The 14,360-nt window shown below is 43.1% G+C and overlaps 1 long non-coding RNA gene across 3 annotated transcripts in view, besides 3 other annotated features; it reads right to left on the reverse strand.

Annotated features, from left to right (window-relative positions):
• Window positions 1-14,360, reverse strand: part of LOC105369513 (uncharacterized) — a 47,986-nt gene that overhangs the window by 14,323 nt on the left and 19,303 nt on the right. The window lies entirely within an intron of this gene.
• Window positions 4,911-5,442: an enhancer, noted in NCBI's record as "H3K4me1 hESC enhancer chr11:115923025-115923556 (GRCh37/hg19 assembly coordinates)". NCBI's record gives its function as "activates a minimal SCP1, AML or CMV promoter by ChIP-STARR-seq in primed H9 embryonic stem cells {active_cell/tissue: H9 hESC(primed)}" and the evidence as "EXISTENCE:reporter gene assay evidence [ECO:0000049][PMID:30033119]".
• Window positions 5,443-5,974: an enhancer, noted in NCBI's record as "H3K4me1 hESC enhancer chr11:115923557-115924088 (GRCh37/hg19 assembly coordinates)". NCBI's record gives its function as "activates a minimal SCP1, AML or CMV promoter by ChIP-STARR-seq in primed H9 embryonic stem cells {active_cell/tissue: H9 hESC(primed)}" and the evidence as "EXISTENCE:reporter gene assay evidence [ECO:0000049][PMID:30033119]".
• Window positions 12,472-13,032: an enhancer, noted in NCBI's record as "NANOG hESC enhancer chr11:115930586-115931146 (GRCh37/hg19 assembly coordinates)". NCBI's record gives its function as "activates a minimal SCP1, AML or CMV promoter by ChIP-STARR-seq in naive and primed H9 embryonic stem cells {active_cell/tissue: H9 hESC(naive and primed)}" and the evidence as "EXISTENCE:reporter gene assay evidence [ECO:0000049][PMID:30033119]".

A 14,360-nucleotide genomic window follows, 5' to 3' on the forward strand; every position in this document is an offset into this window, starting at 1 on the left:
CTGCAAGGTGAATAAGTGACAAATTTGGAACACTGATCTTTCCTATGCTGTTCTGACTCCATGTCCAACGTTACAAAGTAAAAAGGAGTAAAGAGTGTTGGGCCTAGCAGACTCACATTCGAATCAAGCAGGGTTGGTTTGTTGTGCGTTTCGAGGCAGGGGTTGGGTGGGAGTGTACAACATAAACGTGACCAAAAAATAATAATAATTTTTAAGGCTAATGAATGGCCTTATAGTTGGACTATTAAACATGATAAAAATGTTTACTAAATTGTTCAACTGGACCACGTGTAGCAAGTGAGGCTTTCAAGGGACGTAGTACAGCGTTGAAAAACACCGCTCCAGCACCAAACACCTGGGTTCAAATCCCAGCCCCGTTACCTATAAGCTGAATGACTTTGGGCACATTCTTTAACCCCTGCACTTCAGAAGCCTCATTTCTAAGGTGAGGGCAACTATAGCATCGCCTCACAGGGTTGCTGTGAGAATTCGAGGGAACACACAGAATGTGCTTGAAGCAATGGCTGCCCTCTGGTAGCTCTTAATGTGTTGGCTATAGTGTTAGTAATTTCCTGAGTCTTTTTATCGATCACCTATTCTGCACCAAACACTGTGGGAAATACAGAAATGAACCTGCCTAGCCTTGGCCTGGAGTGTGCACTCAAATAACTAACACAGCCCAGAATGGGATAAGGTGCCAGTTCTGAAATACAAGTAAAGCTTTTAGAGAAGGAGGTCAGTCCTGGCCAGAAGGGGTATATGATGAAGAAAATTTGAGAAATTGGCAGGAATCTAACAGGACATAGGGGACAAGAAGGCAGTGGGCAGGCATAGTGGTCTCACCACACTGGCCAGGCATCAGCTAATTGGGTGTCTACTTCAGCCTAGGTGACACCTGCCAAGAAGAAAAAGAACTCGGTTCAACTACCATTGCTGTTTCAACAGAGTGTAACTCTCTATTCTATTCCCAGTGAATGTCTTTCTGGCATTTTCATGACCACAAGTCCATCCCTGCTTCCTTTCATTTGGGGCCACCATGCAGACCCAGCTTACCCCATTGCATACAGGACTTTCTGCAAAGGGAAGTGCTCAACCAAGTCTGAGTTGCAGCAGCTTAACACCGAATGGCATCCACTCTTGACTTTGAGTCCACACTTCAGGCATGATTAGAAATGGGACCAAAAGGGAAAAGTTTCTCCAAAGACAGCACGATCTGGAAGATTGAGACCCAGCCCTCAATCTCATGTTGCTCCCATAGACTAGGAGCTCCTCTTCGTTTCCTTAATCTTCCCTTTCCTCTCAAACTCTTCTTAGGCTGGATGCGGTGGCTCACGCCTGTAATCCCAGCACTTTCGGAGGCTGAGGCAGGCAGATCACCTGAGGCCAGGAGTTCAAGACCATCCTGGCCAACATGGTGAAACCCCATCTCTACTAAAAAGACAAAAATTAGCCTGGCGTGCTGGTGGGCACCTGTAATCCCAGCTACTCAGGAGGCTGAGGCATGAGAATCACTTGAACCCGGGAGGCGGAGGTTGCAGTGAGCCGATATCGTGCCACTACACTCCAGCCTGGGCAACAGAGTGAGACACCATCTCAAAAAACAAACAAACAAACAAAAAACTTATTCTCTTCTTGTTTTCTGCCTCCCCTCTTCTTTATTTTAAAAAATAAGTCCTCATGGTACACCTGCTTCTTCCTTTCTAGTTTGTATCATTTCCTCCCTCCATGCATCCCTCTCTTCCTTCTTTCTGGTTGGGTGTCATTGCAGGAATTTGACAAAGAACCCTTTGTGCACCCTACAAACATACACTTACACATGTCCCATCTCCAGCACACTCTCGTGAGCTTCCCTGTTTCCTGGAAGGTGGATAGACTGTTTTGCTGGGAGTAGAGAAGAGAGAGAAAGAGGGACAGAAATAATCCTGTGGCCTGGAGACAGGCTCCTCTCCTAAGGAGAAGAATAAAGCCAGGAAGGAATTCACCCACAAACCTTTTGAAGACATATGGAGGAGAGTGGAGAGATTTTTTTTTCCCCTTCTCCTTCAGGAAAAAAGCTTTTAAAATAAATAGCTGACAGCGTTTCTTATTTGAGTAATTCTTTGCTGGTTATAAATGTGCCACTCTAGAGTACTTTATTTAGAAGTTAAAAAAAAAATGCATTCTCCAAGAAAGAGCTCAGCATTACCCAGGGGAGTAAGGTTCACTCTCCTGTGGCCCTCCTGAAGCCCTGCCTCAGACATTCATATATTCTCCCATAATCTGATCTAGGTTATAAAAATTAAAAAAAAAGAGGAGAGAGGAGAGACAGCTGGTTTTCCCACACATATGACATTTTCCTTTATGCCTGGCTTAACTTTTTTATGACAGGCTGGGTTCACTCCATTGGAGAATTTCTCCCTTCAAATGAACTTTGTGTTTTATGTTTGAAAATTTTTCTTTAGACAAACCTGGTAATTTTTCAAGTTAAAATGTGTACACTTTAAGCACTTAGGAAGTTTAAGGATCCATCTGATCGGCACATAAATCTGAGGTTATTCATGCTAAGCTCCCCATGTCTAACTGCACTCTTAAAAAATAATAAAAAGCAAGTGACATATTTTAACTTCTTTTTAAGTGAAAACCCCCAGACTGTCAGTTTCCTCAGTAATTGATTAGTATCTCGGTACACTCCCCTCTCTGTCCCTGGTGACATTCAGTGTGCAACTGCACTTGCTGTGCTTGAGGTAGCTTGTCATGGAGTGGGAAAGAAACACAGGGCTGGTGTACTGTCTGTCCTTTCTTTTCTAAATGGAGAGATAGATTTTCCCCTGGCTGCTGCCGCCTGCTAGGCCCTTAGGCAGGGGCTCCTCATGGGCCGCTCTCTGGCTTATTGACTTTTGAGCTCATGCAGTGTCTTAGAAAGAAGTAGACTTTGGAAAGCAGGATCAGACTTTAAGCTTGACCTGCCTTTCCTGGCTGAGTCACCTTAGCATGTTTGCTTGACCTCTCTGTGCCTGTTTCATCTCTAAACAGGGGTTAGCAAAAACATCTACACTACAGTAGATACTCAGTGAGATAATGTATGTGAAGGTGCTTAGTAAAGAGTACATCCTGTGCGATTTCATTTGTTGGTTAAACATGGTGGGAAGCCAGATTGCTCAACAGTCTGTGCCTCTCCCACCTTAAATGTGGAACAGCCAGGGTAGAATAGAAAATTGTAACCCTCATGCCTACCTCATCACATCCTGAATCCTAGAAAGACCCTGGGGTTATGGTAGATATACGAGGATAAAAAGCACTTTCTCCACATTCTAGGCCCCTCTTTAACTCATCTGCTCTGAAGTGCAGGAGTATGTAGGACCCACCACAGCTGCATTCCCTGTTCAGACAGTGCCTTTCGAGTTGGACACACTGAGGCTGCATAATGAGTCCCTTGCATCAGTGTGGTGCTGATTCTTCCATCTCTAGTTGTGCGCAGACCTGGTTCCTGGACCGGCAGCATTGGCATCCCCTGGGAGCTTAATATAGATTCAGATTCTCAGCCCCATATTAACAAGACCCCAGGAATTCACATGCACATCAGAGTTTGAGGTGCACAGCCCCAGACCAAGTGACAGAGCAGGACACAGGCTGTAGCAGAGGAGGAACCTGCCATACACCATATCCCACTGCTGGAGGATGGGGCCTCTAACCCTGCGAAGCGCTGTCAGACAAATACCAGCTATGGTAGTGGTAGTTTGGTCCTGTGGGGACTCTTTAGCCTCTCTTCCCTTTTTCTCTAATACATGTTACCAAAAACCACTTGATTTGAGTAAAATCAGATATTCAAGTCCTGAGACTAAAGAGGGAAAATTTAGCTGAGCTCTGAACTGAGAGTCTGAGAGTATCACTAAGATTCCTTCCATCTGCACTGCACTTAGAGTTGCGCTCATATCACATCCATTGATCCTGAAAGTACCTGGATGGGAGAAGAACAGGTAGGCATACAGAGAAGTAAAAGAATCTGCTCAGCGCCACTCATGAGTAGATAACAAGGTGGGGGCTGGAACTCTGGTCTGGTCTATGTAGCGATTTACAAATCTGTCCTGCTTAGATAAAACCCAGATGGAATTTGAAGTGCTTCTTCAATGGAGGAAGCTGTGGATTCTAGAGATATTGGAGAGAGGTTTGTAGTCCAATCGATAGTAAATCAATTAATTTAGGCTTCCAAATAGCCCCACTCACTCAACCAGGGCTACAGACTCCACTCCTGGTGAGGAGTCAAAACGGCTGATGCCACACACCAATCAGCCCACAGCATTGATTGGGCACCCACTGTGGGCACCACACCACACCAGGCACTGCGGGGCAGGAGGCAAGGGGCACAGCAAATGAATGTGATGTGGGAATTATGATGGAGGACGCTGTCCATAAAGCCGCTCGATGTTCCGTAGACAAAGTTACATCTGGTAAATATCTACTCAAGTTTTGTGCCAGCAAAACTGAATTGTCCTAATAAGTGAGTTTGTATTCTTTCTTTTGTTAGAAGATAAACCCTGTGTAACTCAGTGAATCTCTCTCTTTTGCCTCAGCTGCTGGAAAACTCTCAGTAAAGCAGTCCAGGTGGTGTAATCTATCCATTTCAGAGGTCTGAGAACACATACTGCTTCTGCATCCCTCCAACAGCCTCTGTTCCTTTTTGCGTCGTGTTTTCGTGTGAAAACCACTCTGAATCCTTTTCAGGTAATAGGCAGGGCACAAAATCCTCAAACACAACTTTGAGGCATTCATTTAGTTTCGTGTGGTGGAAGAAAGGCACACGATAACTTCATAAGGTATTTGGCCATGGGAGCAAGATGCCTGGGCTTAGAGTTGGGGGACTGGGACCTCAGGTATTCCACTGGCTGGATGGGTGGCATCAGACACATTATCTTGCCTCCCTGGGCCTCAGTTTCCTCATCCACAAAATGAGGCGGCTAGGCCAGCTCTGAAATTCTAGCAAGTGAAAAGGGTATAAAGCAAAACAACAGCAGGCACACATTAGTAGAAATACAAAGAAAATGAACAACATGAGAGTAATTGGATGTTGGGTTCAAGGAGAAAGCTCTTTTGAAGCTTTTTCAATCTATTCTTAGTGTGTGCATCTTCCTGGGTGATAAGGGGACAAGGGGAAGAGGCTATTCAAGTTGTAGCAGACAAAAGGAAAAATAGCCACAAATTCTTTTTCTCTAGCTTCTGATGCAGTGGTGGAGTTCAGAAGTCAATTTCTCCACTCCTTGACTTGAGTTGGCCATCATTAACGCAAAAGACAGAGCAGGGGCTTGAAAAGCTCGTGTGCTTTTGGTGTTGCCCTCTTGCTGGTTTTGGAACTTGGCCACCCGGCTAGCTTGCTACATTATGAGAGTCACATGACCCAGCCACCCCATTAGCTTCAGCCTGCACCAGACGTGTGAGTAGAGCCACCTGGGCAGGCCAGTCAGCCCCACAGACAACCCTCCTGTACGTCAGTGAGCCCAGAGATCAGCCTAGCCCAGCCCAGATGGAATTACCCAGAAGAATCATGATCTAAATAACTGGGGGTTGTTTTAAGCCAGTAAGTTTTGGGGTAGCTTACTACACAGCCAACACTGACTGATAACCCTGGTTGGGAAGGCAATGTGTTTAGAGACATGAAAATTAGAACCAGCAAATTGCAGCTGGAGATCCTGTGGGGTAAGAACGCAGTTGGGGCCTTTTTATCTCCATTTGCAAAACAAGGTGGCTTCATACCCTCCCAACACTTATCCCGGTCCCTGCTCTCCTTTTCCCTTTTTATCCATCATGCTTCCAGCAGGGGCAGGAAGCAGACGTTCCGTTCTTGGCATTACGCACCTGCTAAAGGGAGAGAGAGTGTTTGCTGTGGTAGACCAGACAGGGGAATGGAAGGCCTGATAATTAGCCCATCCTCTGACAAACCCTGGGTTCCAACAAAAGGAGCTGGACAAATCAGCCGAGCAAAATTATCAGCGCTAATCTCCCAGCCCCTCCTTAATGCCGGCCCTTTTGTGGCCAGCACCTGGCAGGGACTGTTAAGCCATCACGTTCTCCCCACTGCCCTGCACCCCCAACCCATCCCCACTCTCTTTTTCTCTCTTTCTCAAGTTGTTACCACACAAGCATCACGTAAGGAATCAAATAGGGACAGGTCCTATTGTTCAGCAAAGAGGCAAGAAAAAAATAATCAAAAAGGCAGGGGACTTAAAAAAAGACCAGAATTATTTCTCAAATAGAATGGGAAAATCTAACATGCCTTATCACTATAGAGAACAAGCACTGTGCAAACACCCAGGCCTCTGACTGGCGTGCCGGTTGCTTTGAATAGACGCATGACATTGTCAAGGAACCTGCCATTGTGTTGCTGAAAGGCACTTGCAACATTGCATAAAAATCAGGCGTTCGTGTCACCCTCAGACTAGTCAAAGCTGCTGTTTTTTCTTTCTCTTTTTGAAAGAAGAAAGAAGGAAAATAAGAAATGTCCCCAGAATAAGACCTTCAAAGCCAGATAAACGTTATTTCTGAAAGGCATCGGAAACTGGGCATCCAAGCAAAGCCACCAACTAAAGAGGTTTTCTATTTGGAGAAAGTTCCAGTGGGCAATGGGGAGGTATGAGGCTGGTGTGGGGCCAGAGTCATGGCTTTTCCTGTAGATGGAACTCTCTGGCTTGAAGTGTTGTCCAGTCCTTCTAGATTCGTCCAGCTCTTGCAGTCATCTCTTCTCTTCTTGGTCACTTCCATTGTGTGGTGTTAAGTGTTCCTCAAGCCCTACAGCGTCCCTCTGGTGTCTTTCACTTTTCAGGGAGAAAATGAAGTTTCCGACCTTTGCAATTCCTGAGGGACCTAAACTCAGCTCCAGGGACCTGGATTGTCTCTGTCACCCTTGAGCCACTCTGGGGAGCTCAGGCTGACCAGGGCTCTTCCTCAGCCTCATCTGCACATTGCAAACAGCCTGAAGCCTTCTCACTATGCCCAGGTCACTGTGTGATGACTACGGGTGAAGGGTTTGATTGTTCCCAATATGAAATACATGAATTTATCTTCCACGGACCAGAGATGCTAGAGCTTGGGAAAGTCATCACAGAAGGGGGTGGCATGTTCTGTCTGACCATTGCATTGAGACACAACTCTTCCAGCCTCCTAAAGCCTTACCACAGGATAAAGTGAGATTCAGGAGTCTATGGAGAAGCCAAGAGATTTGTAAATGCGTATAAAGCTCAGACTGTGTTCTAATCGATTGCTGTTCCTTACAGTTCCAGAAATTCAGCCTTTAAGAAGAGGGAAGAATTTAACTCTAATATTGATCTGACTTCCTGGGTGCCGTTGGGGAGGAGGGTCAGCTGGGAAACCAGTTCTGGGTGGGCAGTGTGGTTGAGGTATGCTCCCTAATTGCAAGCTTTGATTTGTTCAGCTGCTCCTAGATTTCTGGCTTTTAACAAATGGCCCTTGGTCTACACCTGCTGTCCTCAAGGGGAAGATGAGAAGCCTCTTAGCACCTAGAGGCTGCCCCTACAGTATGCCGACTTCCTTTCCCAAGGGGGTAGGTGCAGAGCAAAGAACTGTGGACCTACATGGGTGGGTGTTAGCTCCACTCCCAACCTACGGCATGCTCTTGGGTTGGCCACTTGACTGCTTTGAGTCTTTGCTTCCTCATGGGTAAAGTTTACTTTATTTTATTTATTTATTAATGCCCTACTTGTTCCAGAATGGATTTAAGGTGGCTTATGTGTAAAATGAGGGGATTAAACAAGCTGATCCTTTCTAAGGTATCCTCCCGGCTCTAGGATGCTCTGGCAGTCTTACTTGCCACTTGATGTTGCAAAGTCTGCAGTTCAATTCCAAGTTAGAGGAATGCCAGCTGCCCCTTGAGTGTGAGTGATTCATAGTCACAAAGGGACTGTGGGATTGACTGGGGAGATGTGTGCTTTGTGCTGTAGTAACACTTCGTGCTTGGGGTTTCACATCAGCAAATTAAATTATGGGTATTAACAAATTTCATACTCACACACTTTTAATAGCAAAGAGTTTCTACATTAGGACAATTTCCAATTGGTTCCCTATGGATAATAGTTCTCTTTTAAATACTCGGCAAAATAATACAGCCCCTTACCAGTTCTCAGCTCTGTGGAGTCTGTCTGTGAGCTCCTGCAACTCTGCCTATCACTCATAGACCACAGGAACTTGAGGTCTGAAAAGCCAATTTGGGGCACTTTAATCTAAGAGAGACACTGACCAACAGGAGTTTGTCCTGAGGACTGTTATCAGAGAAAGAAAGATCTGGAAATAGTGCCTTATGGGGAACAGTTGGTGAAGCTGGGGATGTTTCAGAAAAGAGAAGACTTCCTATGTTTGCAGAGTTACCATGATAAAGAGGGGCCACGGGACCACTGTGGAGGTGTCAGAGCTGCTCATTAGTGGAATGGGGTGTCTCGGGAGGTGATGAGTTAGAAGCACTGCAAGTTCCAAACAGAGGCTGGGCGAGCACCTGCAAGGAGGAATGAATGACATCTTCTGTCCAATTTAGCAAATATGTATTGAGCATCTACTAGGAAACAGGTTGTTATGAGGTAGGTGCCGTGGGAGATTGAAAAGCAAACTGTTATTCACTACTAATTAGAATTCTTCTGGCTACAAGCAACAGAAACCAATTGGAGGTGTTAGTCAAAAACATGGCTATTTATTATAAAGATGTAGGGATATCCTTCATATAAAGGTACAAGGATGTTGCTGAAGCAAACCAGAATCAGAGTCTCAAACAACAGCAGGCTTCATTTCTTTGCTCCTGTCTTATATCTTTTCATTCTTCTCTCTCTCCTCTCCATAACAGCTTTCTCTGCTTCTTCTAATTGGAAACATGGCAGTTGACATATTGCAGACCTAACTTCCTCTCCACCCCAATTCTTCATTTTCCAGGAAGGGACCCTAATTGGTCCAACTTGGGTTAGTTGACCATCTGATAAGCAGAGTTCCTAGGGGGCACCACTGTAACCTGTGATTGGACTTAAGTCAGAGAAATTGCCAGAAAGGGGTAAAGACTGGAAAACAATGTTCATAACACAGACATAGCTCCAGGTCTCAAGGAGATTACAATCCAGAGGGAGAAGCAGACACAGAAACAATGAACTCTAGTATAAGACTGACTGTGGAACATGCTAGAACAGACATGCCTGGCCCAGATGGAACCTGGAGAGCAGAGGTTGAGGAATTCTGACAGACAGAACTAGAAGGCTTCATGGGAAAGAGATAGCGTTGTGGTGCAATGATTTTTTTTTTTTTTTTTTTTTTTTTTTTTTGCTGTTGTCGGTATTTTGTGGTCCAATGATTTTTTTTTTTTTTTTTTTTTGCTGTTGTCGGTATTAGTGACAGTGAATTTTTAATTTCACAAATAATAAGTACATATTATAAAAAATAATTGACTATCTCCTCATTGCTAATCATGACACATATTCTTTTAGACTCTGTCCATAAATTTACACTGAAGTAGATACACTTGTATTAAAAAATGATTGTTTTGCATAAATAAAATACTTATATAATTTTACAACTTCTATTTCTCATTCAATATTTTTGAAGAGCTACCCATAATAGTATGTATTAGACCTACCCTATTCTTTTTAACTGATGCATATTTTCTTGTCATATGACTACAATTTATTTGAGTGTAATACAATGTATCTGTTCATCAACTGATAGGAATCTGGGACATCTTTGTACGTACCACTTTGTGCAGTAGTACAACTGTTTCTCTGGATACAGAGAAGTGAAATTGCTGGGTCATGGTACATGTACATTTAAAATTTCATAGCAACTGATGACCTGTACTCCAAAGCAGCTGTCCTAATTTATTCTCCATCATCAGCGTATGAGAGTGCTTCACAACACTTACACTTTACAAACGTTTACCATTCTTGTGGGTAAAAAGAGGTTTCTCACTGTTGCTTTGATTTCCATTTCCCTAATTACCAGTGTGCTGCATACCTTCAGTTTGCCCCCCAGATTCACTCTCCACATTTCTCCACTCCATTTTCTAGGAAGCTGACCTGTCAGGACAGTATCAACAGGATACTTGTTCTTGGTTGGATTTAGCCAATAGAAGATCCAGAGGGGAGGAGGAGAATGAGGTTGGGGGATTTATTCCCTCTCCTCTTCTGCCTTGCAAGCGTGGTGCATCCTTGTGCCCAAAGCCACAGCTCTGTCAGAAAAGCCCCTGCAGAGCCCTTCCAGGTTTTGACTCTCATGTGCATCTTCAGCCTTGGGGTGGTTACAGTTCCCTCTTTATCAAACCATCTATATCCTTGCTGATATTTTGCTGCTTGTTCTGTCAGTTACTGAGAGGAATATGTTAAACCCTATGTGTGTGTGCATTTCTGTTTTTCCCTTTAGATTTGTCCATTTTTACTTCCTGTATTTGAAAATCTTTTATTATGTTCATAGACATTTAAGATTATTATGTCATTTTAAAGGATTGTCCCATTAAATAATGACTTTATTTCTGGTAATTTTTTAGTCTTGAAATCTATTTTTTGAAAGAAATATAGCCACGTGAGCTTTTTAATGCTTATACTTTGCAGTTTCCATCCTTTATTTTCAACCTGTCTTTATTTTTCAACCTGTCTTTATTTTGATATTTAAATATTTTTAAATGCCATATAGTTGGGTTTTTAATGGCTTTTTTAGGGGGCAGGTGGAGTCCATGCTATTATGTTAAAATATATATAACAAAATTACATGTATCACAAAATTATTGGCCACAGGATATTGTATCACTCCTTGCTTAAAATCCAGTCCATACCTTTATAAACAACTCCTTAATTATACTTTCCTCAAAGTATCTAGTTTTGCCCTCTGTTTCTTGCTGGGGCTTTGAGTAATAAAATCAGTGAGGCTGAGCATCTCTTCATGTTTCCATTTGCCATATTAATGTTTTCTATGAAATTCCTGTTCATATCCTCTGCCCAGTCTTTCACGTTAGAATGACTCCTTGATTTGTAGGCAGTCCTCATATACATAACCTCAATCATCATCCCGTTAGACACCTTGCAAATATTTAAGTTTGCGGGTTGCCGTTTGAACTTTGTTCATGGCATCTTTGTGACTGGCGAGTTTTAATTTTTGATGTAGTAGTTATATTTATCAATCCTTTATACTCTGTCAAGGGTCAGCATATTTTCAGTAAATGTCCAAATGAATATTTTTGGCTTTCTGAGTTATGCAGTCTGTGTCACCAACTACTCAACTCTGCTGCTGTAGCTCTAAAGCAACCACAGACAATATATAAACAAACGGATGTGGCTATGTCCCAATACATCGGGTTTTTTAAGAAAATTTGGTGGGCCAGATTTGGCCCATGGAACAGTACTTTGCCAACCTCTGTTCTATATATTTTGCTTATTTTCATCTACATAAGGAGGCCCTTCCTATCCTGAGGTCATAAACACATTATTCTGTTGTCTTTTCTAAACATTTTGGATATTTTTATATTTAGTTTTTTCAGCTATTTGGAATTGATTTTTAGTAACGGATACTAGGTAGAGAATCTACCTCTATTTTTTTCTCCTCAATGAATAGTCAATTGCTCCACTCCAATTTATTGTGCAACTGATGTGAAATGCCACCCTTGTTTATTTATTCAACAAATATCTTATGCCTATTATGTGCCCAACAAATATGTTTCTGGGCTTGGCATTCTAGTCTACCCACCAGTTTGTCTATTTGCAAGTCAATATTGTAGAATTTTACTGTTTAAATATGATACATTTATAGTATGTTTTGATATCTAAGAGGGCAAGTCCCCCTTCCTTTTTTTCATTTAATTATCTTGATTTTCTTGATATTTATTTTTCAATATAGATTTCAAAATGAACTTGTCAAGTTCTATGAAAAATCTTGTTGGGATTTTGATCGGGAGTACATTAAGTATTTATAGATTCATTTGCAGGAATTGACATCTTTGCAATATTGAATCTTCTTTATCAGGCACATAGTAAATGTCTTCCTTTGCCCGGGTTTCCTTTTGTGACCATAATGTCTGTGAACTGTATTGTCTTCTTTGTCCTGTCTGTTACCTATGTGTCAGGGTAGCCTCAGACTAACAGGTGAACTTGGCACTCATCTCAAACTTTCCTTCTCGTTTTCTAGGCTTCTCTAGGAAATCAGTGAGAAATTGGTTGATATGGAAGAGGAGACTTTCTTATTCTAAAATTATACTGCAGCTCTAAGAAACAGTGTTTCCTTGGGTGCATACGACTCTAGGCCACGTTAGCAAATACTTTCTTTTACATTCAGCATCAGGATCCAAAGACAATCTTCTGAGGTTAGGTATTTAGGAGGATATGATTGTGCATGTAGTATCATCCAGCTAAACGTGGTGATTTAAAGACTTTCAACAAATATTTAGTGAGTGAGTACCATGAGCCAGGAATTGTGTTAGCTTCTGGGGCACAGAGAGAATGATCTACAGTCTCAGTGTCATGAATTTCCAGTTCAGGATTGAGGAGCAGGGCTAAGAGTCACAGACAGCTGACCAGGTAATTGTCCTCTAAGAGCAGTGCACAGGGTACTATGGAATCACAGCATGGAAGACTTAGCTGACCTGAGACACAGTAAAGATTTTCTGGAGGGATGATGCCTAGGCTGAGCCTTGATGAAGCAGTAAGCTAAGCCCAGCAAAGTAGGAAGGGCGCTCTGGGGAGAAGAGGAGGTCTTCATAAAAACAGTGAAATACGAAACCTCCTGCTGCTTGCAGTAAAGGAATTATAGGCAGTTTAGCATCACTATAGAGTGCAATGCAAGGAAGAAAGAGGCAGAAGACAAGGCTTCAGAGATAAGCAGGAATCATAGAGTACCTTGTCCAGTACTCCACAGAGCTTGAACTTCTAGTTTTCTGTCTTTTTTTTTCCTGTAGTGTTGATGGTTTTTTTTTTTTTTTTTTTTTTGGAGCCTGGAAATGACTTTGTTGGAGTTGTTTAACAACTTACTGGCTCAGTATAGAGTATAAATTTAATGCACATAAGACCAAAGTCATGGAGACCATTAAGAAGAAATTCAATAGTCCAGTTCAAAGAGAAGGCTGGTCTGAACTAGGGAGGGAGGAAGGAGCTGGGTCCCTAACCCACCATGTGCTACACTAGCTAAAAGCACAGGCCCTGCAGTTGGGAGACCTGGGTTCAGTCTCTACTGGAAGTAGGAACTTGGCTGAGCATCTTTGCTGCTCTAAGCTCCAGGTCCTCGTCTCTAAAAGAGAAATAATGGCACCTATTTCACTAATTTATTGTGAGGATTGAATGAGGTAACAAATGGCTGGCACACAGCAGATGCTCAATAAACATTTGTGGAAGTGCTGTCGAAGGTGACAGAAGTCACAGGCTTATTTACTGCAGATGTCTAAGGAATCCGTGTGTTTAGCTTTATTGTAAAGGAAGGGCAGGGGAAATAAAATGAGAGTACTTGCCTCGTTGGTCCTACAGGGAAAATGTTTGGTAGACCAATGGGGGAAAAGCGTTCTCTTCAAAGTGCTTAACAATTATCTTGGTTTGTGAGCATTTCACAGGTTTTGAAACAATAAGCGTTGGCTTGTGGTTGGGGACAGATCAGTTGTGTCCCCAGCACTGGAGATAACACACAGACCTAGGCTTGGGGGAAGGGAGAAAAGTCATCATCCCCTTTATCCTTGAACCATGGAGACCAGGAGAACCAGGTCCATGTGCTAGTCCGAACTGGCAGGAAATGGGACAGGCTAGATTGGGAAAAACATGAAATTTGTTTGAGAAAACCTGGATTTAGATCTTGGCTGTGTCACCATTATTTGTTCTGTAACCTTGAGCATGGCTTATAATTACTCCTTGTCTCAGTTTCCTCATTTGTAGAGAGGGAATTATAAATAATAATGATGGGATACACATATATATCTTCACATAGTTGTAAAATTCAAAGGAGATGGTGGGGGTGGCAATGCCATTAACTATCAAATGATGTTTAAATGTTAGTTATGATTTTGCTAAGTGAAGGTGGGGCCCGGGGGCAAGGCTGGGTATCTGGAAGCTCCACACCACAGCCCAGCAAGCTTCAAGTTCAGGAAAGAATTCAATTATTGCAGCGTGTAATTTTCTGTTTGCAAAGCTCATATTGTGTATGTAATTGAATCAGAATAAAGAGATCCAGAGGCTGCGGGCTTGGGATAAGGCTTTGGAGCTGGACTCCAGTGAAGCCAGGCTGGAGGGGGGTTAGCTGGAGGGGACTGGCTAGGGGAGGGAAAGAGGGAGGGGACAAGGGCACAGGGAGCAGAGTGCCAGGTGGGCCCCGAGAGCAGACAGGGGACTGCTCCTGGTTTTGCTTGGTTCCCTCGAGCCTTGTTTTCCCCCATAGATCCA

Source organism: Homo sapiens, chromosome 11, assembly GCF_000001405.40.
Source record: "Homo sapiens chromosome 11, GRCh38.p14 Primary Assembly".
Classification (NCBI taxonomy): Eukaryota; Metazoa; Chordata; class Mammalia; order Primates; family Hominidae; genus Homo; species Homo sapiens.